This window comes from Homo sapiens, chromosome 18 (genome assembly GCF_000001405.40).
Source record: "Homo sapiens chromosome 18, GRCh38.p14 Primary Assembly".
NCBI classification, from domain to species: domain Eukaryota; kingdom Metazoa; phylum Chordata; class Mammalia; order Primates; family Hominidae; genus Homo; species Homo sapiens.
Genome location: NC_000018.10, coordinates 14,921,491 through 14,946,266, shown reverse-complemented (window position 1 = coordinate 14,946,266; position 24,776 = coordinate 14,921,491). Strand labels below are relative to the sequence as shown.

The 24,776-nt window shown below is 49.6% G+C and overlaps 1 protein-coding gene across 1 annotated transcript in view; it reads right to left on the bottom strand.

The window, feature by feature from the left end:
• Positions 1-5,131: 5,131 nt before the first annotated feature.
• The window catches only part of ANKRD30B (ankyrin repeat domain 30B), a 192,964-nt gene continuing 173,319 nt past the window's right edge, over positions 5,132-24,776 (bottom strand). Inside the window, exons 48-49 of the transcript XR_007066151.1 lie at positions 16,269-16,356; positions 5,132-7,341 (exon numbers count right to left, since the gene is read on the bottom strand). The gene's annotated coding sequence lies outside the window, so the exon portion shown is untranslated. The remainder of the gene's footprint in view (positions 7,342-16,268; positions 16,357-24,776) is intronic.

Below are 24,776 nucleotides of genomic sequence, written 5' to 3'. Positions count from 1 at the left end.
GCGAGCCCGAATCCTCGGGCTGACTCAGGAGGAAACAGCTCCAATGGGAAGGGCCCTCCCTGATCACTTGCTCCCTCACTTTCTGTGGTCACTGCTCACATGGCAGTCACATGGTGGGGCAAGGAGCGGAGCCTCAGGAAAGTTAAAGAGGTAGGGCTTGACTCCAGTCCGGCTCCTTAGTAGCTGTGTGATCCTGGACAGTCATTTATTCCCTAGATCTGCACTGTCCAATGTAGCAGTCACTAGCCACAGGAAGCTATTTGCATTTACCCTTAATTCAAATAAAAGGAAATACAATTTAAAATCCCACTTCGCTGGTGCACTTGCCACACTGCTCAATAGTGCCCTGTGGCTGGTGGCCGCTGTGTTGACCCAGCTCCACAGCGAGTGCTATTGGACAGCCCTGGTCTAAATCTTAGTTTCCACCTCTGCAAAATGGGTGCTGCCATTGGTAGAGGGTTAAAGAAGTTTCAGAAGGCTGCTGTGGAGTAGGTAGCCAAGGATATTAGTTTTCTTCCTGTCCCTAACTTCATGCTTGAAATCGAAGCCTCTTCCTGGGTTTTGGTAAAAACAAAACCAGGGATGTTCAGGAGTGGCTCAACCTGGGTCTTCTGTGGCTCTAGGTGGGTGTTCCTGACCCCAGAACCCCAGGGAATTCAGCTTCCTGTGAGTACACTGCAGAGGGGAGAGGCTCACTGGGTCCTCAGACCCAAAACCCTTGGAGAAGGGACATTCGTGACCACAGCAGCCTCTAACCAAAGGTGGCACCATCAGGCACCCCAGGCTGGGAGCTGGAGGTGGTTCCTGGGTGTGAGTGGCCCCTCAGTCCCACCTGGGCCTCCTGTTCTCCTCCTTCGACAGAGGGATTTCCGTGCTGTGTGACCCTGGTTTTCCCAGCATGCTCAAATCTATTCCTCTGTACATGAAGAATACTTGCCTCCCCCTGAAAAGACGGGCACTGCTTACCCTGACATTGAGGGGAGATGGTTTCTCCTGAGAAGGTGGGGAGCTGCCTAAGAAGTCAGTGCCATGGAAGAAGCCCAATGGCCCCAGTGGTGTCCTATTCGAACCCTGCTTACTCAGCTGAGGCTGATGCATCTCCGTTCCTGGCCTCTAGAAAGGAAATACTCACTCTGAAAAAGCAGGTGGGATCCGAGCTCTCAGAGAGCCTTTCTGTGCTCTGGGGGCCGACTTAGCCAAGCCTGCTGTGCCCCAGGCCATCTGGCATCTCCCACCTTTTGGGCAGGGGCCCCTTCCGCTGCCTGGAGGAGCAATCCGAGCCTGGCCAGCTACTCCAGCTCACCCAGGAGGTGGCCCAGAAAAAAGGGAGGAGACTGCTTCACGCTTCCCCTGAAACACCCTCCTGCCCTGTCACCCCCACCTCTGCATAACTCCATGTCTCTGCTCTTGGCCTAAGGGATTGAATCAGTAAAAATATGCTTTTTAATAGGTCTTACTTCTTGTCAAAAATATCACAGGCTGGGCATGTGTGTATCTACCCGAATGTGTTTGTAACTCAGATAAAAACAATACACTCCATGAAAATGCCCAAGCAAAACAAATCTTTAATGACATAACTGCAGTGACACATGCACGAAATCCTGGACGAACCCCCCCCCCGGCCCCCTGCCGCTGATGGGGCCCTTCCCAGGTGTTCCTTCAGATCTGAAGCATCCTGGGCCCCACGTGCACATGCACTGCTGCCGTGTGACTGGGAAGGGCCCTCGCTGGAGGTTCCTGGTCCTGTATCACGACGTTTTTGGGAGGCGCTGTAAACACCCAACATCATGGACCCTGATCCTGTCCTGAGTATAGCCACCCTCATTTCCAGGTTTGCTCGTGGACATTGAAGAATGAGTGTGGAAGTAAGTGACCCAGTACCCCCAGGTGGCGAGCGAGGGAAGAGCAGAGGGAGGGAGGCCCACGGCAAGTGAGGGAGGGCGGCCATGGTCCTGGTGGCTGCAGGAGACACCTCCTCCCCTCCTCCCAAGTCTAGCCCAGCCTCCTCCAGGACCAGGGAGCCAAGGAACCAGTGGCCCAGGTAGCTTCTTGTCATCTCTTCGTCATTGCTGTGGTCAGCTGTTCCCTCCGCCCACACCCAGGGGCCCACTGTGACTAACAGTTAAACAGTGCTTTAAAACTTATTGAAAGGATTATATTTTGTATTTCATTGCACCCTAACAGCAGGGGGTACCATGCATCACTCCACCCCGGCTCCTTTCACCTGCGCCACCTCCCTCCCTCTCCTTGTCTTGTGTCAGCTCTCCCTTCTCAGCCAGTCCTCTTCCTGTGGGCTCGTCTAGAGCTGGATCTTGACTTTTCCTCGCTCCTGCTATCTGGGTGTGTCCCTTAGGTGCCACAACTTTAACGACCAAATTCACAATTCCTGCCACATCTGTGTCCTCAGCCCCAATTTCTCCCTGAACGCGACATTCTTATAGCCACGCATCCCTTAACAACAGGGCTCTGTTATGAGAAATGTGTCATTAGGTGATTTTGCCATTGTGTGAACACCACAGAGCACACTTACACACACCTGGATGGCACAGCCCACTGCGCACCGAGGCCGGATGGCAGAACCCACTGTGCACCCAGGCCGGATGGCGGAGCCCACTGCGCACCCAGGCCAGATGGTGGAGCCTACTGTGCACCCAGACTGAACTTCAGAAAGAAAATAAGCTTCCTGTAACTTTTTACTTTATAAATTTCTATGCTTTTAACTTTTTGACTCTTTTGTAATGACTCAGCTTAGAATACAAACACATTGTCCAGCTGTAAAAAATATTTTCTCTTTGTATCCTTATTCTGTAAGATTTTTTCTGTTTTCAAATTCTTTTTTTAACATTTTAAACTTTGCAGTTGAAAACTAAGACACAGGCTGGGCACAGTGGCTCATGCTGTAACCCCAGCACTTTGGGAGGCCAAGGAGGGCAGATCACTTGAGGCCAGGAGTTTGAGACTAGTCTGGCCAACATGGTGAAACCTCGCCCACTAAAAATACAAAAATTAGCTGGGTGTGGTGGCAGGCACCTGTAATTCCAGCTACTCAGGAGGCTGAGGCAGGAGAATTTCTTGAACCCAGGAGGCGGAGGTTGCAGTGAGCCAAGATCGTACCATTGCACTCCAGCCTGGGCGACAGAGCAAGACTCTGTCTCCGGAAAAAAAAAATCTAAGACACAGACACACACATTAGCCAAGGCCTGCAGAGGGTCAGGACTGTCACTATCACTGTCTTACACCTCCACATCCTGTCCCACTGGAAGGTCTTCAGGGGCAATAACATGGAGCTGTCATCTCCTGTGATAGCGATGCCTTCTTCTGGAATTCCTCCTGAAGGACATGCCTGAGACCATTTTACAGTTAACTTATTTTTATAAGTAGAAGGAGCCCACACTCTACAACCATAACAAGTATAGTATAGTAAATATGTAAATCAGTAAACCTTTTATTATCATTATCACTTATTATGTACAGAATATAATTGTGTGTGCTAGACTTTTATAGGACTGGCAGAGCAGTATGTCTGTTTATGCCAGCATCACCACACACATAAAGAAGATTAAATGATCGTATTTATTTAATTACCTACCTGTTTGCTGTCTGTCTCCTCACCACTGGGATGTGAGACGTGCAGTCAGGGCCCGTGTCTGAACACACAATGCCAGTCCCATGTCTACAAGGGTACCTGATACAGACTGATGATCCCCATACACTTGTTCAGTGACTGAGATGATGACAGCAGGCAGGGCAGCAGCTATTTCCGGCCTACGCATTTTCAGATGAGAAATGGAGAGTCCCAAATAGGCTGGTAGGTTGCAGAGCTGGGGCTCACGCTTAGAACCGCTGACTCCCAGCCCAGTGCTCACACCAGCCTCAGGCTGCCGCTTCCTCTGCTAAGAGTAGTGGTGCAAATGCAAATTCAAACAGTGCTTTTACAGACATTTTATTGGTATATTTGATTCCCAGAGTTCTAGGTTAGCCAGGGGAGGATTGTGATTTAATTTAGCCAATAAGGAAACCTTGGCTCTTGGCAGTTCTGATGTTGCCAAGACCATATTCACTTTAGGGACCAGGCTTCAGGCTTCCACGGTCCAAGCAGCCATTGTGACTTCTGCCCTGGCCTTTTGGAAGTAAGAAGAAGAGATTCACGGTTCAGAGAGGAAGGGAAATAGAGAAATGGTTCCTAGGACTTCCTCATCCTCCTAGAACATGGGAGGTGCCAGGCTGGGCAAGGGGCAGGGTAAGGAGCTTGTACTTTGTAGGCCATAGGCTGAGGCCCATGAGAGGCCCCCGTGTGTGGGGACAGAGTCATGGGGAGGGTCAGAAGCTGCAGTCTGGGCTCATTTGTGGCCAGAGCAGACCTCAGCATCTCTGGACCTTGGCTGCCCAGTGTCTGCACTCAGGCCTGACCTCACTTCCTTGTACTGGGCTTCTAGCCTGTCCTTCTCCCTCCTCCCCACCTCTCAAGCCCTGCAGGGACAGCTCAAAGGCTGCCCAAGACCTGGATCCTGGCCACTTGGCCAGGACCACCTGGTACCCACCTCCCTGGTGACAAAGACTGCCCTGGTCCCTGACCTGAACGGGGACAGCTGGGAGGAGAAGAGGCTGCTCAAGGCTGCAGCTTTTACTCTCTGGAATGGAGACCTGCCCTGGAAGATTTTTCTAGGACTCCCAGATCCCTCTTTCCAGACACAAGGGGTCCCCAAGATTGGAAGCCTTACAGCCTCCTCTTCAGAACCAGCTGCTTTCCGACCAGCCCTGGGGAGTGTCTCACAGGCTCTGAATGCAGCATGCCTGCCCTGCCTGGGAGGGGCACAGCCTGCACAGAGTGCTCCACGCAGGAGAGCCACTGCCACTCCCCAGGGTGGTGACGCCACATGCCAGAGACTTGGGATGTTCTCCTAGACACCAAATCTGTACTCCAAGGGCTATTACCGGGTGAAGAGGGAGCGTGCCTGCCTTCCACTCAGTTTGGAAGGTAGAGCCTAAAGGTATGTAGCACACATTCTCTAATAAAAAAGAAAGAAATACTTTCTATATGCACACACTGTAATTAAAAATGGCAGAATAATTATTCTTTGGTTACTAATGACAAGGAAAAATATATAACTTAAAATAAGTTATACAATACTTTGGTTCAATAAGTTTATTTCTTAGAATCCTGCACAGTTACCAGAGTATGGTTTGCATGGTAGGAAAAGCACAAATTGACCTGCAGTGTTATCCTGGGGATGGAATCTCCTGGGAGCACATACAGAGTCCCAGAGCCTGGTGACCCTAAGCTCAGGTGCTGTGGGGAGCTCTATTTGAGTTTCATTTACATAAGAGTCCCTGGGACTCTCAGAAGGGGCCTCTCACTAGGGCTGGGCTGTCAGAAGCACCGGATTTAGCTCTTGCAATGCCCACCCTCAACTCCTGCCACATCTTTGACTTTCATTTGCAAAATAAAAAACTATTTTTCTGCTCCAGGAGGTTTCAGTCCAGCAGAAAAAAGAGATTGTCAATTCCCAGCTTCATCTCCCGTTATGCCCCACAACAGAAAAGGGAAGCAGTGACTTCCCAGGACAGCCTGATGCCGTCAGGAGAGTTTTCTCTCTAGAAAGAGGGACTTTCCTTCTTTATCATTTATATGAAATTGATATGACATTATTTGAGCAATTAAGTTCCATTTGCAGCATCAAGTTCAACCCAAGGCTGTTCTGAAATTGTTCATCCCATTTCCCCAGAAGCCATAAATAAAATAACACCTGGCTGGATGAACATTTGCCATTTCCATTCCACGCTGCTGTTCCCTCCTTCCCACATGCCTGACTTGCTGTGTGTCCACATGTGGTGGATAGACCCCCAACTCTGTTGCCCCCTACTCAGTTTTAAGTCCCCTCTATCCCTGTGGCCACTCTGGGGGCTCCACAGCACTGGCTGTGCTCCAGTGAGGGCGGCAGAGCCCCAGCTTGTTTTCGGAGAGATGCTGCATCCAGAAACTCTAGGCAAGCTTTGTTTCCACCACGGGAAGAACGAAAGCCATGGTGCAGCTCTACAGCAGGGAGGCTGGGTGACATTCCTAGTCCTGGAGCTCAGCTGGGATTTGGGACCCACTGTGGGCTTCATAACATTAGATCCATGGACCTCACCCTGGGTGAGATGAGACATACGTACCCCTATTTTAAAAATAAAATCCATCGGTGATTCTGCTGCACAGTCAAAATTGAAAAGCACTGGATTTGCCTATGAATAAGGAGTCAACGATGTCGGCTTTCTATATTGCAAAATTTTCCCGGCATACACATATTTATGTTTGGATAAGGGCAGTGCCCAGAGTAACTGAAAGGTTAATTAATTATGCCTCCATGGGCCATTAGAATTAACACTGCACAGTCCCAGCATTCCAGGAGTTGTAAGTTACGCTGGACGCGGGTATGCAGTCCCTCCACGTGCTATGCCTGGTGGCATCTGGAGCTCATCTTTAGCTTTATCTGCCACTCAGCTTTCTTTGCATTGCTTAAAATGAACTACTTTATTATATTTATTTTGATCACTGACAATTTTGTGAATTGGACAGCTGCTTCCCAGTGGAATCTAAGTCCTGGAAACTGAAGTCTGCCATTTACAGTGGGACTTCCTGCCTCTGTTCTACATGTCCCGTGGGCCATTGATCCAGGGCACACACAGCTTTCAGGAGTTGACTCAAGACCACTCTGTTTCTTTCCTAATTAGGGCTAGGGGTGTATTCTGCAGCCTCTTTCTCCAAATTCCAGTGCAGCTGAATGAGTGCCTAGAGCCAGGCAGGCCCTTTACTGATCCTGTTCAGTGAGGAGTCCCAGTCACCCACAATGTCATACATAGGGATCCCCCACACCTGGGGACAGGGACCTTGGGTGTGAGGAGGCTCCCTGGGCCCCTGAGCCACTGGGGAATCAGCCAGGGAGCTAAGGTGTTTCACAGAAACACTGGGACAGTGTAGGATGAGCTCCTGTCCCTCTGGGGGCAGGTCCTGTAATCCTAGGGCAAAGGACTGGTGGGGATGATGACCTTACTGCCCCTGTTGTGCTAAGATCAAGTTTGTCAGAACAGCTCACCCTGCTACATCCTGAAAAAAAACAGAATTTGGACCTACTTGGGCAAAGCACAGAACCAACCTGTCCCTTTCCTTCCAACTGCATTCACTTTGAAGAGACAAGAGACAGACGATGAGTAAGATGGATTCAAAAGCACTTCTTTCTCCTCCTGCAGACGTGTTTTCATTGCTGCCAGAACCCTGGCCTAGATGACAGCAGCCTGTGGCCATTTATCTTTCCTCCTGCCTCTAGAGGGGTCCCTCTGTCTCCTGTTGTTGATCTTCTCCTGGGGGGGAAATGAAAGCTGTCTTTATTATACCCTGCAGAACCTAAATCTGCTCTTCTTTAAGACTCCCTTTTTTGTCTGATCCAAGTTTATCTTGCTTCAATTTAAATCTGCTTTGTCCAGTCCCACACGCATCAAGACTAATAACAGGAGGTGAGCATCTTGTCCCCCTCTTACAGTCATCTTCAATATGCTTACGCCTCATGGGTGCCCTTTAGCCCGACTCCCCATGTTCAACACAACACTAAATATTTTAAACATCTGGTCAGCGAGGTTCAAGAAGAGATCCCCCAAGTCCTGTCTGTTATTAGTACTGCCATGTCCTGTGACTGAGGTCAGTTGAAAACTGCAAATAGCCAGTCCAGATGAACTATGAATGTCTCAGACCCTTCCGGAATGAAAGTTTGTGTCCCCTACCAGGTAGAGGACTGAGGGCCATGGCCAGCCAAGATGCCTGAAGAGGAGAAAGGGAATATGGGTTGGGGGTGGAAGATGTGATCAGGAAGGCCAGCGACAACTCAAGACCTGTAAAAGAGCAGAGGGCGGCAAGCGTGGGAGCATTTCATCCTTCTTCTGTTGAGACTGTGTTCTGTGGGAAAAGAAGAGAATACTTAGTTTCTAAAGCCACTTTTTAAATTTTCTAAAACACCTTTGCATTTATTTTCTTGTTTAATCCAAAATGAGTGACTGAGGCAAGAGTCTCAATCAGCTGAGGTATATTCAGCCAGAGCTGAGGGCACATCCAGGAAACACCAGCCACGGTTGTGTGTGTGACTGAGACTCGGTGTTTATGCATTTCCTCCTAAGTTGGGGAAGGCATGTAGGGAGAGGAGTGAAGGCAGAAGAATGGGTCATCTCGTCAGTTTCATACCTGGGAAGATGAGCATCATCAGTGCGGAATGGAAAAGACTTTAGTTTTAGGAGCAGCGGTTGGATTGCAGACCTGAAGTTACCATTGACATATCCTTGTTTGATGGGAGGATGTACATCTTGAAACGGTTCCAGGCCAGCAAGGAACAGTTTGTGGGGGCAGTCACCCAGAGACGCCAGGGGCCTTTGCTTTTCTATGGGGTTTTGTTACAAGATAAAGTTGTCCACATTCTTGAAGTGTTGAACCAAGAACTGAACAAAATGCACACACAAAGTAACAAAAGAATGAAGCAACGAAAGGCGAAGCAACGAAAGGCAAAGCAACAGAAGAACGGAGCAACAAAAGCACAGATTTATTGAGGACAATTCACAGAGCGGGAACCGGCTCGAGCAAGCGGTCAATAGCCTCCTTAATTAGGGGTTTTATTAAGCTCGAGGAACCTGGCAACACCCCTCCATGCCCTTTAGAGGCCTCCAATTGGCTACACCCCATGAAAGATTGGCCTGCGACCCATCAGAGGCTGCAGTGGAGACCCAGCTTGCAGTCCATCAGAGGCTGGAGTGGCTTGTTACCATGGGCGGGAGGACGTGGCCTGTATGCAGCCCCTGCTGCTCTCCTGCTTATACAAACCGGCGGCACCTGCTGTTCTTTTGCTTATATGAACTGGCTACACCTGCTGAACCCCCGTTTACTCTAACTCCCTGTTCTCCTGCCACAGTTTGTTGAGTGTGGAATGCTTGGACACCAGCTTGTAAAGTAACTGTTGTTTATTTGGGAAAAAGCTGGTGGTGTTTTGTGACTCGGTCTCTAGAAGTTAGGGGTTCTGAGATTTCTTTTCATTTTCCTTTACACTCATGACCAAAGTGCTGAAGGAGGCAAGCACAATGATGTATTCACCTTATGTCATGGGAGGTCCCTGCTGTAGGGAGTAAGCTCTTTGCACAGTGACATGAGGCTCATGACCAGTATGTTCCCAGGTCATGGACTTAGGGTCTTCAGTTGGTCACTACCAGCACAGCTTGGGCTCTGCAGTCCTTCAGTCTCATAATGGGGGACCCAGCGGGGTCCTAGTTCTCTTCTCCCAGCCTGGAGCCCAGGACTGGAGGTAGAAAGTGTGCAAAGAGGAGAAAACATGTCCTCTGAATGCCTTCCCATCATGATTTTCCAGCCAGCCTCTGTGAATCTCAGCCCAGGGCTGCTGGCTCCCAGCCTGGCCCCGTCTTGCTTACTGTCTGTGTCTGTTCTCTGAAAAATAGCATCCTTGCAGATGTGAAGCCTCAGTTACTCTGATCCCTACTGTTTCTCCAGCCCCTAGAGCAGTAGGCTTTCAGGAAATGGTGGAAGAACGTTGATTGAGGAAAGAATGGAGTGCTACTCACACAGAGAGGTTGTTTCTTATTGTCTGCCCCACAGCCTAGATGAGAATTGCCTGTGAGTCTCCCTCACAGCCCTGGTGTCCCTCTTCAAGGCAAGGACTATCATTTCTAATTATATGTTTGTTTCACATCCCTCCCTACCCTCCGCCCTAGGTACAAAGTCCTTGGGGGCAGGCACTGCCTCTCGTTTCTCCACCCTATCCCCAGCATCATAAATGTGGATTGCTGGGCCAGCAGATTGCAGGGCTTAGGATGCGTTTGTGGAGGGAGGGAGGAAGGAAGGAAGTAAGGAAGCAAGCAAAGAGGGAGGAAGGTGGAGGAGGGAGGATGGAAGAAGCTGTTAGATGTACCTTTGGCAGCCTCAAAAATCTCACACAGTAAATACTTTTGTTTCTGGAAATTGAACATGAAGGATGGGAAACACCTCCAACACAGACAGTCCTTTCACAGTGTCGACTTTTTGACAGCCTGAAGAACTTTGCAACTCTTAGGTCCATAAGCTGTGAGACATGCCTTGGGCCCAGGAGAAGGAAAGGGAAAGGTTCAGTGGTGTTTTGTGCTCTATTTGGGAATGTTCCCTTGCAACACTGCAGCCTACCCACACTCAGGCTCTTCAAGCGCTCAGGTTCCAGGCTTTGCCAGCTGCTTTAGAAGAAGACAACAGCAATTGACTGCCTTTCTTTCTGGTTTCACCTTTCAAAGCAAAGAATTTATTTTCAAGAGTTCACTCCTTAAGTGCAAGTTTGAAGGTAAAGGAAAGGAGCTGTGTGTACAGAGGAGGGTGTTTCTCACACTGCCTTTCACAGGCTGCACTCCCTGGGGTAACACAAGGAACATCCTTGAGACAGTCTCTGTGTGCAGCCAAAATACATAAAAGGCAGTGGTAGTGCAGAATGCACTGTGCATGCACGTGCACACATACATAGGCATACAGATGCACACATACACGTGTGCATGCAGGTACACATATGCATGCACTACACATATACCCACATGCACACACGTATGCAAGCATCATGCACATACCATACCCAGAGACACACACATATAAATACACATGCATGCACACACACACATTTGCAAGAAGAAAAATAGGTGACCAGAACTAGTAATTGCACATAAACCTGTCACACCACAGCAGAGCCTCTGCCCCTGTCAGTGGTGGCCTGCAGGTGTCAGGCCCACCGTAGGGAAGGAGCTTGGAGTATGACTCCACCTTGGGCTGCTGGATGCACATGATTTTTACCTGAATCACTGCTTCTCAGGGCCAGGGAGTAGTCTGTGGACAGGCGACCTTCTGGAGGAGCAGCCACAAAAGGCCCAGGGCTGTCTCTGCTCCAGGTTAACTTGGTTGTGAAAAAGAATACACCGGAAAGCTAACTAGCTGGAAAGCTCATCCTCTAAGTGAGGAAAGTGTCCTAGCAGCACAGGAAGCCATGGCTGCTCTTACATACCCCTCTCCATTTCATGAGTCTACCTTTGAATGCCTCCTCGAGGTACCCCTCCCAGGCTATGACAATGGCTGTGCTAATCAGGTCTGATTCATGAGACTAGCATGCTATAATGCTCAAACAGGAGGAAACCATGCTAACAATATGTTCATTTATTTTAAAGTCTCCACTTAAGTGGGGTGGGTTGGCCTGAGCCCAGGGTCCCTGAGAGCGCAGTCCTGTCTGTGAGGGGGCCTGGGAGGGTGCAGGGCATCTGTACTGACTGCAGACACGATGGGGTGTGTGTGTGTGTGTGTGTGTGTGTGTGTGTGTGTGTGTGGTAGAGGGAGGAGGATGTGCTGGGCTACCTGTGCACACCCCTCTCTCTCCTGCAGCCCCTGCAGCCGCATGCCTGCACTCCAGGAACCAAAAGCCAGCTCTGTGCCAGCGTCTCCCATGACTGCTCCCAGATGCCTTCTGTTTCAGCAGTTCTGGCTGCTCTTGGCTCCGGATCCCTTCTTGCTATTCCTCCTTGAATATTCCCAACGTTCAGGCTTCAGTGTCCATGCCAGCCCCTCCCTGACCCAGCCCCAGATGCCCTAGCCTGGCATGGATACCAACTCCACCACAGCCTCTCCAGTGCATTTCATCCCACTCCCTCTGATGCATCGGTGGCTCCTGGCTTCAGAGTACTATGTCTTCATCCAGGGTCTTTTAACAGTGCAACCTGAGGCAGAAGCTTCAGTGCTACCAACTTACTAATGAGTGCAGCCTCAGGGAAACAGGAAGGAGGAGCAGTGGACTGAGGTGGGGAGGCAGGGCGGGCAGACCTGTGTGCCATCACTGCCGGGTAGCAAGTGTCACTGCTGTGAGTATGTCCATGTCAGGACAGGTGAGGGAAAGGAGAGGAATCGAACTCCCCAGCTCCCCTCGGGCCTGCCTCTCGCTGGCCAGCACCTGCCTCATAGGCACTGACACGCCCCTGCCCATGCATGGCCCCTGCCTGCAGCCCATGGCACACATTGCCTGCCTTCCAGGCCAGGCTCAGGAGACCAAGCCTGGCGGAGCCAGCCCAGCAGCCTGCAGTGGAGTCAGCAGACCTGCTCCAGGGCCTGGGGCGCCTGCCCTGCAGTGAGGCTGTGGGTGGACCCCTTGCTTGCTTTTTATGGCTGCCCAGGGTGGAATGCAAAGCAGAGAGGGCTCCAGAGGGGCTCTGAGGTGGAGGAAGGATGGTCTGGGGTACGATCCAGAGGCGGGAGGCGGGCAAGGCCCTGAGACATCGTTTAGAGAAGAGAAGCTGACAAGGGTTAGAAAAGAGCCTGGAGTCTGAGAGGAGACAGGGCCAAGACCAATTCATTTCTGTGAAAAATTAGGTTTCAGAGCAGCCCTGTACAAAGGGCAAGTTCATTTTATGTTTCACCATCTGCACTTGACGTAGTTGCAAAGTCATAAATGCCTCAGGTCTCAATGCGCCTTCCCTCCGAGTTCACCTCCTCTGAGTCAAACACCTCTCCCCACGTAGTGGCCACTGATTAATGCCAGTCCCTAACCCCTTTCCTTTCCTGCCCTTCAAGCACACCCGCTTGCACGCATATCTCCCAGCACTGCCCCTCCCTGTCTGCACCTGGAGCCCAGGAGAGGAAGCCTCAGCTGAGCCTGCATCTCTAGGGAAGAATCCTGGTCCCGGGATCCACCTCCTTCCTGGCCCTTGCTCCATGCAGCTCCCACCCAGTCCCGATTTCCTGGCCCTTGCTCCCTGCAGTCCCAGCTCCCACCTGGCCCCAATTTCCTGCCCCTTGCTCTCTGCAGGCCCAGCTCCCACCTGGCCCAGAACCCAAGGCACCCACCCCCGGGCCTGCTGCTGTCCCCTTGATGGCCTGCACTGCAGAACAGGACAGGAGCTGCCGGGGCTCTCTCTGCAGCCTCCTCTCTAGGAGGTCAGAGCTGCATCAGGCTGGGGAAGGAGGGTGGGACACAGGCACCTGGTTAGTGGTCCTGGTGGGCTGGACCCTGCATGCAGAGGAGGCTACAGCCCCACTGTCATTCCCCCACTCCCCACAGATGCACCTGGTAAGACCTGGAGAAAATTGCTTCTCCAGCACATTTAGGATTGTCACGCTTAGCAGGACTGAAAGTTCCATTTTTACAGATAAGGCAAATTTGTTTAGATTCGTGCATGGTCTTTAATTAGAACAAATAGTCTTAGCCACACAACGAAACAAAATTGATGATTCACTGACAGCTGATGGCTTTCAAGAAACAACAGATGTACTTAAAATGAAGATATATTTCATGGTGTATTTTTTTCCCTCCAAAAAACACTGTTGGTTGATTGAATAATGCATTATAATGATTAAGCTGTTAGTTCCAAATACGTTCTTAAGAATTTATGAAGCAATCTGTCCTCCCAGCAGCCCAGGGAGGAGCTTGAATGCTGGTGCACTTAAGAGAGAAGAGGGCAAGAGCTGTGAGCCCACAGGGGCTTCTGGCAGTGCAAAGTGGGAAGAGCCTGAGAGGGTCTTCAGGACTGGGGAGCAGGGGCTACAGGGAGAATGGACTTGGGTCCCAGAACATACCCAGGACAAAATATTCATTAAGATAGAGATAGGGGAGGCCGGCGCGGTGGCTCATGCCTGTAATCCCAGCACTTTGGGAGGGGGAAGCGGGCGGATCACGAGGTCTGGAGATCAAAAACATCCTGGCTAACACGGTGAAACCCCGTCTCTACTAAAAATACAAAAAAAGTTAGCCGGGCGCGGTGGCGGGCGCCTGTAGTCCCAGCTACTCGGGAGGCTGAGGGAGGAGAATGTCGTGAACCCGGGAGGCGGAGCTTGCAGTGAGCCGAGATCGCGCCACGCCACTCCAGCCTGGGCGACAGAGTGAGACTCCGTCTCAAAAACAACAACAACAACAAAAAGATAGAGATAGGGGAGAGGAACCCACTGTTCTCCAGCTCCCTGGGCCAAAGGCAGCCCTGGAGGCCACTGCCACAGCCTTCAGGAGCAGGACTCAGACCTGACGCCAGGCAGGAGCCCCCCACCCCACCTCCCAGGTCTGGGATGAGGCACAAGGGGCTGGGAGGCTGGGCCGACAGAGAAGGATGGTGACCTGGGCCTGAATTCTATCAGTGAAATGTACCCTGAAGAAAATATGTGCTAAATATCTCAGAAGCCCCACAAGGGCAGGGCAGTGAGTGTGCAGGAGGGAGGTGGGGTGGGGCGCCTGGGACAGAGCAGGAGGGAGGTGGGAGGTGGGGTGGGGGGCCTGGGACAGTACAGGAGGGAGGAAGGAGGAGGGAGGTGGGGTGGGGGGCCCGGGACAGAGCAGGAGGGAGGTGGGGTGGGGGGCCTGGGACAGAGGGCCTCCTCTGAAGTTGAACTAATGCCACTGCTCTGCCCTCAAATGGTTTCAGGCCAGAGTCTTCTCTGTTCAGGACTCCATCCCTGTAAGAAAACTGAGGAGCTGGATTGAGAGAGGAGGGAGGGTGTGGAACGTGAATTCTGAGCTATCAAAAGGGGCTGTACTTCGCCTAAGGCCATGGATGCTGTGTGCGCTGTGGGGCACACACCACACTCCTGTTGTCCAGCTGCCTATTTTATGTTCCATGCGCAGGGAGCACTGAGGCCCTTCCTGGAGCCTCCCACACCCACACAACACACTGTAGCCTCCTCTGTCAGTTCAGGGAGGGCAGCTCCGCCTTACACTGCTAGAGCTAAGGTCAGCACAGGGGGATGCCTGCTGAAACAGCATGTGAGGTCAAAAGCCTAGTGGGTTTCCATGTGACGGAAAGTCTGGGCATTGAGGAGGGGTGGAGGTGACCAGGAATTAAGGGGTTACCAGATGCTGGGAACAGAAATGGGTGTTTGACATGCAGAGTTTTCCAGATCACTGGAGATCAAAATACTCGTCCTTGTTCTAGAATTTTTAGTCTCTGGTGTGTGACCTTGGGTAAGTCACATTTCCACTCTAGGACACTTCTGCCTCATTTGAAAAATGAGAGGTTTGGACTAAAGAGCCTCTAAAGTCTCTTCCATCTTAAGAGTCAATGGTGAGCTGTCATTTGGGTGATGCACACTCTTCGTAGCATCCCCTGTCACTAAAGACAGTAGCCTGGCAGGTCATTACTGCTGAAGAGAGCTTCAGGGCTCTGGGTGCAGGGCTGCCAAATGCCACCTCGCAGCACAATCACGGAATCTCCAGGAATGCTTCTGTAAATGCTGATTGCTGGGCCAGCATAACTCTACTAAATCATCATCTTCTGTGGTAGGACTGGCAAGTCTGTATTTCCAATGACTTCTCTGCTGAGTACAATGTCCCCAGTTTTCCAAGCACCAAAGTGAGGCCAGCACCAAACTCCTGACTTTAATTAGCCACAACTAGGTTAGCAGAAAATTATCAGAGCATTCAAGGCAAATGCTATTCTACAATGAGCTTCTACCTGGAGATCTGTGAGGACCAGCAGAGCCACGAGGATGCATCATTCTCAGGAAGCTCAGCCACCGTGCTGGGGAAGGAGCCATCCTAGTGGATAGGGCCTGTGGACACCCCATGCTGTTTCAGTTGTGTGGGTTGGGGAGACTCCAGGAAGGGCCTCAGCACTTCCTGGGTGTGGAAGGTATAATAGGTGGCTGGACAATAGGAGTGTGGTGTGTCTACCCCATAGCACACCCAGCGTCCATGGCCTTAGAGGAAGCAGAACCTCTTTGATAGCTTAGAATTCACATCCCACACTCTCCTTCCTCTCCACTCTCCAGCTCTTTAGTTTTCTTACAGGGATGGAGTCCTCATCAGAGAAGACCATGGCCTGAAATCATTTGAGGGGTGGGTCAGTTGCATTAATTTAACTTCAGAGGAGTCCCTCTGCCCCAGGCTCTGCACCCCACCCACCACCCACCTTCCTCCCAGAAACTCACTGCCCTGCCCTTGTGCGGCCTTCTGAGACCATTTAGTGTATATTTCACTCAAGGAAGGCCTCACTGACAATCCAGGCCCAGGTCACCATCCTTCTCTGTCGGCCCAGCCTCTCAGGGACTGGCCTGGGATGGACCCTGGCAGATGCAGCCTGCCTTCTGGAGGAACCCACCTGGCGAGCCAGTGTCCTGCTTCTTCCCCCTATTCACTCACCTGAGCCACACACCTGCATATGCCACCCTTTATCTCAGGATGTTCTTAAGGCAATACATTCATCTAACATGGCTGAAGTATCCTCACATGACCCCTTCCCATCTACCTGTGAGGGAAGCCACTTACTCATCCAGAGCCCTGGACTTGCCGTTCCTTCTGCCTGAAGTCTGCTTTTGCTGGGACTCCATCTGGCTGCCTCATTTTCCTCATTACCCTGTGAGATGAAATGTCATTTCCTCAGAGATTTCTCCTGGATCATTTCCCCAGTCACCACCTTCGTTTATCTATTACACCTAGCACTATATGAAATGCACACACACATACACACACACATGCATGCACATATCTTGTAGTTGCCGTTGTTATCCACCCACCAATCCCCAAATGGTGAACTCCATGGGGCAGTAACTTTGCCCGTCATAGTCAATCCTGTTTCCCTAGAACCTAGAAACAGGTACACTCCAAGTCCTCAACGAATACTTATTATGTAAAGTTTGATGCTAGAATAATTCCATGAATTAAAATATCCCAGTATCCTATTCTGGAAAGTAAAAAAATTGGACTCATTGTCCTCTGGGATCTCTTTGAGCTTATATAGGCCTGAAGAAACTATTATTTTTTCAAAAAAGAGCAGTGGGAATAAGGGCCTCGTGTAGGCCAGGGACACAAGCGCCTATCACTGAAGCTTTGAAGTCTAGTGGGGAAGACCTCCTATGAACAATGGGCATCCAGACCTGTGATGAGTGAATGGTTCTACAGGAGGATGGACATTACTCTGTGGTGACGTGGATGGAAAATTCTCAGGGGTGTCAGGGAAGGCTTCACACAAGAGAGACAGTTGAGCTCATCTTCAGGGGTGAGTTGGAATTCACCTGATGGAGAATGAAGTTTGGCATTTCAGGCAAGAGAAAGAAAAGGTCGTAGGCATATGCATTTGGAGGCACACGACTCCTCTAAGAAACAAGGACGGACACACAAGGGTGAGAGCCACGCAGGGTGGAAAGCCTGGATGAAGGAACAGATGTGCCCAGGGCTGAGTTTGGAAAGCTCTGTGTTCTGGTAGGCTGCTGAGAACCACAGAGCCAACAGAAGTCCAGTACACAGATTTCATTACAGTCACAATAAGCTTTGTTTCATTTTTAATCAGAGGAATAGTTCTAGTTTAGAAAGACTGGAATGGCAGCTGTGTAAAGGATGAAGAATAGAGACGCATGACCAAAGGTAGGGAAGTACCTAAAAGTGACTGCAGTCCTTCAGCTGAGAAACAATGAATGGCCCCACTCGGCAGATTTTGAGAATAGTCAATGAGACAGATTTAAGAAAAATATATCACCAAAATTTGACAGAACATGATTAACATATTAGTCAGGGTTCTCCAGAAACAGTACCAATAGAGGAGGGAGAGGCAGAGGGAAAGGTTGAGGATTATAGAGACTGAAAAGTCTCACAGTCTTCCATCTGCAATCTGGAGACTCAGGAGACCAGTGGTAGCCCTGTGAACCAGAATAACCAGTGGTACAAGTTCCAGTTCCAGTTCCAAGGCCGGAGAACAGGATCGCTGATAGTGAACTTCTGGCCTGAGGGCAGGGGAAGACCAATGTCCCTACTCGGGCCATCTGACAGAGAAAATGTGTTCTCCTTCCTCCACCACTTTGTTCTTTCTGTTGAGGCCATCAGCTGATTGGGTGATTCCAAGCCACATCGGGAAAGGCAATCTTCGTCATTCGGCCTACCAGTTCAAATGCTTCTATCATCCAGAAACATCCTCACAGATTCATCCAGAAATATGTTTAACTAAATATCTGTTTTGGGCACCCTATGGCCCAATGAGGCTGACACATAAAATTAACATCACATGGCCAGGCGTGGTGACTCGCGCCTGTAATCCCAGCACTTTGGGACGCCGAGGCAGGCAGATCGCCTGAGGTCGGGAGTTAGAGACCAGCCTGGCCAGCATGCTGAAACTCTGTCTCTACTAAAAATACAAAAATTAGCCAGGCATGGTGGCAGGTGCCTGTAATCCCAGCTACTCAGGAAGCTGAGGCAGGAGAATCGCTTGAACCTAGGAGAGAGAAGTTGCAGTGAGCTGAGATAGCACCATTGCACTCCAGCCTGGGCAACAAGAGTGAGACTCCACTAAAAAAAAAAAAATTACCATCACACACGGTCTTGTTTCACCCAGTTGTTCATTCCTAAGTCTAAACTTAATCACCACAGAGCTCCTAAATTCCACACGTGTGGTGGAGCCTACATCTGCAGAACAAATGCTTCTGTTGGTTCATTTCTTACTGGGGCTGGACATAGCTGGTATAAGACTCTTGGCATCAAAAGCTGCATATATTTGAGATAGCTACTAAGTTAGCTCAAAATTCTCATCTGTAGCCCAAGGTTTAGAATTGTTAGAGCCAGGAACTTTGGAGTTTATGGGGAATTGCTTCTTGACAGCAAAATATTTAATATCTTAAAGCACAGGAGGAGGAGGTGACCAAATCCAGATATGTTCTCTGTGGATTTAACACCAAAGATAATAGGCTTTGCTTCATCTGCAATTTTGGCTTCCTCTTTACAGAATCACAAAGTGCTTTGGCCTCCTGGCCTCCTGTGCTGTCCATGGTTTAGCTGGTTAGGAAGGTGTTGGAAGAGATTAAGGAAAGAAGGGCACAGTAAGATGCATTGAATGCTCAGTATGTGCAGGATGCAACCCTACAGGCTTAATATTACCATCATTCTGAATTTTGAAATGAGGAAACTGAGGGTCAACAGTATTAGGTCATCTGCACATAGGGCATGTGAGCTAGGTGGGGTATGGAAAATTGTGTAGGCCCTGAGTTCGGAGTTTAAAAGAACTGATTATGGAATTAGTGGGTATTTTTTATAATTTTAAAATAATTTTAGATTTTCTAAAAATTTGCAATAATTGTACAAAGGTAATTTGTGCCTTTACCTAAATTCCCTAGTTGTTAGCATTTGCCTAATTTCCTCTGCCTATGCACATAAATTTTTAAATTACTTACTTTAAATAACATACAGTTTTTAAATTGAGTACTTCTTATTGTAAAAATCCATTCTTATAGGAAAAAAAAAGAGAAGAAGAAACAAAAATTAGACCAACTACTACTACCAATTACTTGTATTTCCTCTCAGAGATAGTCTCTATAAAGAGAGTACACACACATACACACACACACACACACACACACAACCCTTGCTCACAAATGGGAATACACATAGACAGTGCTTTGTACTTTTCTTTCATTCCAGCCTCCAACTCCTGGGCTCAAGAAATCCTCTCACCTCAACCTTCCAAGCAGCTAAGACTATAGGCTCGCGCCACTACCCTGACTAATTTGTTTTTTAATTTTTGTAGAGATGGGGTCCTAGTATTTTGCCCAGGCTGGTCTCAGACTCTTGGGCTCAAGTGATCCTCCCACCATGGCCTCCCAAAGTTGATTTTTATGCTTCTAATTTTTATGTCTCATTTTATGTAACAAATATAAAATGTTAAAATTTAAAATATTTGTAAGTTACTTAAAAAATTCAAATATTACCTTGTCCAGCTTTATAAATTTGCCCATCCACACAAAGCTTGCTGGGTCCACACCTGTGCCACAGCAGAGGACCCAGGGCCCTGTCTCACCTTGACAATGTGTGGAATCCTGGCTGGGATGCCCCACGAGAGCTGCCCACACAGGTCATCAAGGGAGTCCTCCCCAAGCAGGAGCCAGCTGAGCAGAGTGGGCAAATCCCAGGCTGGAGCCAGTTCTGAGGGAGGAGATGACCTGCTTCTGGCCTGGCCATTATTCTGGTGCTTGTCATCACATTTCTTGTTCTTTTCATGTCACATTTTTGTAGATGGCTTATTTTCTGGCAAAATGCAGGTGAGCCGATTAGTAGGAACATTGCCTCCTCTATTTGCTGGACCTTTTTACCCCTCCTGGGCTCATAGGTAATTACACCTTCAGGAAACCGGGACTCCAACTGCCGCAGAGATCACCAAAATGTGGTCTTCCTCGCTGCCGTGTTGGGCTAACTCTGCCGCTGGTAGGCATGAGGAATGCAATTGAGGTTTATCTTCAAATTCTTAATATCTTTTGACTTTTAAAAATGTTGTCATTTTTTTTTATCTGAAAACCCAAAATTTATAAGTACACTTCACAAAGTCACCTTTTGTGAGCACAGGACAGGTGGGTGCAAACGCCCCCTCTGTGGCAGCTGCTTCTCCAGGGTCTTCAGCTGCGAGCCTGCTCCCCTTACAGGGTCAGGTGCCCTCCTTCTTTTGGTCAGTTCCAGGCTCCTCTTCAATCTCTCCCTCGGGCCTCTGGGTCCGGGGCCTGGCTCCAGGCGCTGTGTGAGCTCAGCAAGGTGGAGCTCTGATTCCTGCACTGAGACACCTGGGAGCCCCAGCCTCCAGGGCAGCCAGCACAGCCCACCATCTGGGCTGTGAGCAGCCTGGAAACACTGTCAGCTTCTCAATATGACAGCCAGGCCAGGGCCGAATACACTCTTCCCTCAGAGCTGGCCACAACCCTGTGGGCCTTGCCCACAAAACCTAGCCTGCTACCATCTGGCAAAATAACACTTTCCATCTGGAAGTTAAAATAAGTTAGAAACCAAAACCAAAACCAAAACCCCAGGCTGTAGATAAGTCTCCATGGACATTCTCTGGCAGGCCACTCTCCCAGAGCCGAATGTGAGGAAAGGAGCTGGACATTTCCGGACAGCTCCTGCTGCATCTGAACAGCACATCAAGCCCAAGAGGAAAGAACCCCCAATGGGAAGTGTGCCAGGGCCCCTGGTCCCCACAGCCAGGGGCAAGATGGCAGTGCAGAGCTCAGCCCCTGGCTCTCTTGTCAGAAGTTCAGGCCAGCTCAGTGCTTCCCATGTCTCCACTCCTCCTGACACAGCTGTCCTCTCCCTTCCTCAGCCTCTATCCAAACCCAGCACTTCCTCTGACCCTCCACTCAGATTCCACTTTCTTCCCCAAAATGTCGATGTCAACTCTGGCATGAAACAGCCACTCCTGTCCCACTGATGGGGGAACAAGGGCTCATTATCCAGTACTCTCACTGCATGGGCTACATACCAGGCCATGGTCTAAGCCTTTGGAAATTCTGCCCCATTCAGTGCTCATAACTGCCCTGTTCTACCCATTTGCAGATGAGAAAGCAAGGCACAGCAAGGTTGTTGCAATTGTCTATGTCACACAGCTGGAAAGTGGTTAGCCAGGACATGGGCCTGAGCAGTCCAGCCCCATCTGTGTCCTAACCACTGCACTGAGCTACCTCCCTTCCCAGAGTCATTTCAAGGTCTGAGCCCTCTCAGCCTGGGGAACACCAGGAATCTTCCCCCGATCCCTCTGTGTTTAGTTTGCATGACACTGATGCAGAGACAGCCCCGACACTGGGGTTGAAAACCAAAGTTACATTTCAGTTTGGTTGTGATCTCACCTAAAAGTCTCCTGTCTGTAGCCCAGGGCCCTCATGGACCTCGTCTGTCTGAGGCTTCCCTGGCCCCAGCCCCTGCTGTGTGCTCCCCGGCTCTGCTGTATCTCTCACTCTTGTATTAGGGCCTCATGCCAGTTCCTCATGACAGTCCCCCTTGAGATGCCACAACTCTGAGAGGATGGAGCTTGGTGTGGATCTTCTTTACCCCTCTGCCTAGCACAGGCCGGGCATGGAGCACGTGCTTATTTGTAAATGAACAATGATTCAATTAGTTGGTTATGTAAAAATGCCCCATAAGTGAATCACCATCTACATATAGCTACAGTAAGTTTAAGATAGTATTAGTTATCATTGCTAGCTCCGTAGCCAGGGAAAGGAACTCTGTGAACTTCCCAGAATCCTGTTTCACCACTTGGAAATTGAGTGATTGGATATTATTGAGTTTTCTTTCAATGCTAAAATACCACAGTTCTACTGTTCATTTTATTTCTAACAACAGTTTGGTAAGGTGAGAAGGATGGTTTCTTTTCTCTTTATTTCAAGGAAAGAGAGATTCAGAGTAATTAAGCAAGTGTCAGAGGTGACATGACCAGTGTATGGGACACTTGGTGATGGATCATGCACTACGTTGTGATGCTGGGACAATCTAGGTGAGAAGATGAGACATATAAGCACAGAGTACATGGAGAGTTTGGAAACTAAGAACAAGCCATGAGATCTAAGCTGTATGGGAAGGGGTATCCCAGCACCACAGGTGATATAGTGTCTTCAGATGTGACTCAGTACAGTCCCAGTACTGGTGTCCAGAAGGATACTACTGGTGTCACCCCTCTCCCAGCTTTAGACAGCTCAACACACAGAGAGAGACTGTTTGGAAGAAAGTAAGGAAAGAGAACAAGATTCTCTGCCTGTTAATCCAGATACTTCTTGCAGATCTTATCCAAGACCACCAATGTTGATCTGAAGCCAGCACATCACTGGGTCTTACCCACAGCCCATTTTAACCCTACTTGGGTACCTTGTTGCTATTTTCACTCAAGGCCCTAGGAATTAGCAGGTTGCAAAGCCAGCCAGGCTTCTGTCCTTCCCTTCAGGGTGGTGAGTTCTTCCAGGACCCAGGAAGGTCCAGAGATGCCATCCAGGAGACAGGGCCTGGAGTCGGAAACCTTACAAATGTTCTTGGTGGTCCATTCTACTGCAGCTGAGCTGGCACCCAAACCACAAAAAAAGGTCCTTCTCACTCTTCTCTCCTCTTTCCACAGGCAGTGAAGCCTCTCCTCATGGTCACCACCACAGGCACACAGGGAGTACTGCCAGGCCACTGCCAATGTTCACTTAGAACCCAAGGGCCCTTCAGTCAGCTTGTATGAATGCTGCCAGGCCTAGGACTCACCCTTCAGGGCAGTGAGCTCCCTTTGACCCCGGGCAGGCCCACAAATGCCATCCAAGAGCCAAGGCCTGAAATCAGAGACCTGAAGAGCCCATTTGGTGGTCTACCCCAGTGTGGCTGAGCTGGTTACTGAAACCAGCACATTTCAGTCTCACCCAAGGCCCACAGTCTACTACCTGGGTATTGCTGCTGGTTCTTCAGGGCCTGTGGACTCTTTATTCGGCAGGTGATGAATCCTGCCAAGACTGAGCTCTTCCCTTCAAGGCAGCAGGTTTTTTCCTGGCCCAGGATGTGTCTAGATACGTATTCCAGGAAGTAGGGCCTGGTGACTCTGCCCAGTGTCCTATTCTACTGTGGCTGAGCTGGTTTCCAAGATGCAAAACCAAGTCTTCTTTCCTCTTTCCTCTACCCTTGTCAAGCGAAATGAAGGAGTCACTTTTGTTGCTGTGAGCTGATCTGCCTCGGCTTTTACAAGGAGTGGTGCAAGCACTCCCTTACCACCTGGGCTGGTGTCTTTCTATGTCCTGTGTCCCTCTTATCCACCAGTTCTGAGCACAGCGCAGCACTAAGACTTGCCTAGGAATTTCAGTCCTTGTGACCTAGACTTTCTTTTCTTTTCTTTTTTTTTTTTTTTTTGAGACGGAGTCTCACTCTGTCACCCAGGCTGGAGTGCGGTGGCGCGATCTTGGCTCACTGCAAGCTCTGCCTCCCAGGTTCACTCCATTCTCCTGCCTCAGCCTCCTGAGTAGCTGGGAGTACAGGCATCTGCCACCACGCCCGGCTAATTTTTTGTATTTTTAGTAGAGATGGGGTTTCACCGTGTTAGCCAGGATGATCTCAATCTCCTGACCTCTTGATCCACCTGCCTCGGCCTCCCAAAGTGCTAGGATTACAGGCATGAGCCACCACGCCCAGCCGTGACCTAGACTTTCAAGTTTATGTAGTGCCCCAGAGCACTTTAGCCCATGGTGTGAAGCTTGCAGAAACTCAACTTTTAACCACTGGGATGGGAGATACCCCTCTGGCTAGGGCTGGTGTAAATGCTCCCTCTGTGGGTGTTGGCTGAGTTCTGCCCAGTGTTGCTCTCCACTGTGACAGGGCAGCACTGAGTTCCAATGCAAAGTCCCCAATCTCCACTCTCTCTCTCCTCCAACAAACAAATTCTCCTCCTGCCAGAAGATGAGGAAGGGATGGTGTTGGCAATTTAAGACTGTCTTTCCTACCCTCTTCAATGCCTCTTTCAGTCATATGAAGTTAAAAGGATGTACTTTGATTGCTCACCTGATTCTTGGTTCTAATGAAGGATTTTTTTGTTTGTTTTTGTTTGTGTGTATAGATAGTTGTTAAATTTGGTGTCTGGCAGGGAGGACCATTGGTGGAGGCTTCTTTTTGACCCTCTTGCTCTGTCTCCCCTTTTTCCCTTATCCACAATTTATGCATCGGAAAACAATACTACTGAGAACCGCCAATTGCCTAAGGCCACGTGGTGAGAAATAGGCAGAGCCGGCAGCTCTGGTCACATTCTAGACACCCTGCCCATCTCTGAAATACTACCATGCCTCTGTTTGCATTATAAACAGCCTTACCTGCCAACTCTCTGTGTACTTGTCCACTTTCCCATTGGTTTTAGAACTTCCTTTACACAGGAGCTGTCTTGTTCATTTTTGCTTTGTCTAGTATTTTTTCATAGTGCTTGGTTTAGAAGGCTATTCTATGATTTTTTTTTCCCTTTTTACTACATAGATTCTACCCTCACTGAGGATCTCAGTGTATGTGTGAGGAAAACAGGGGCAGCAGACA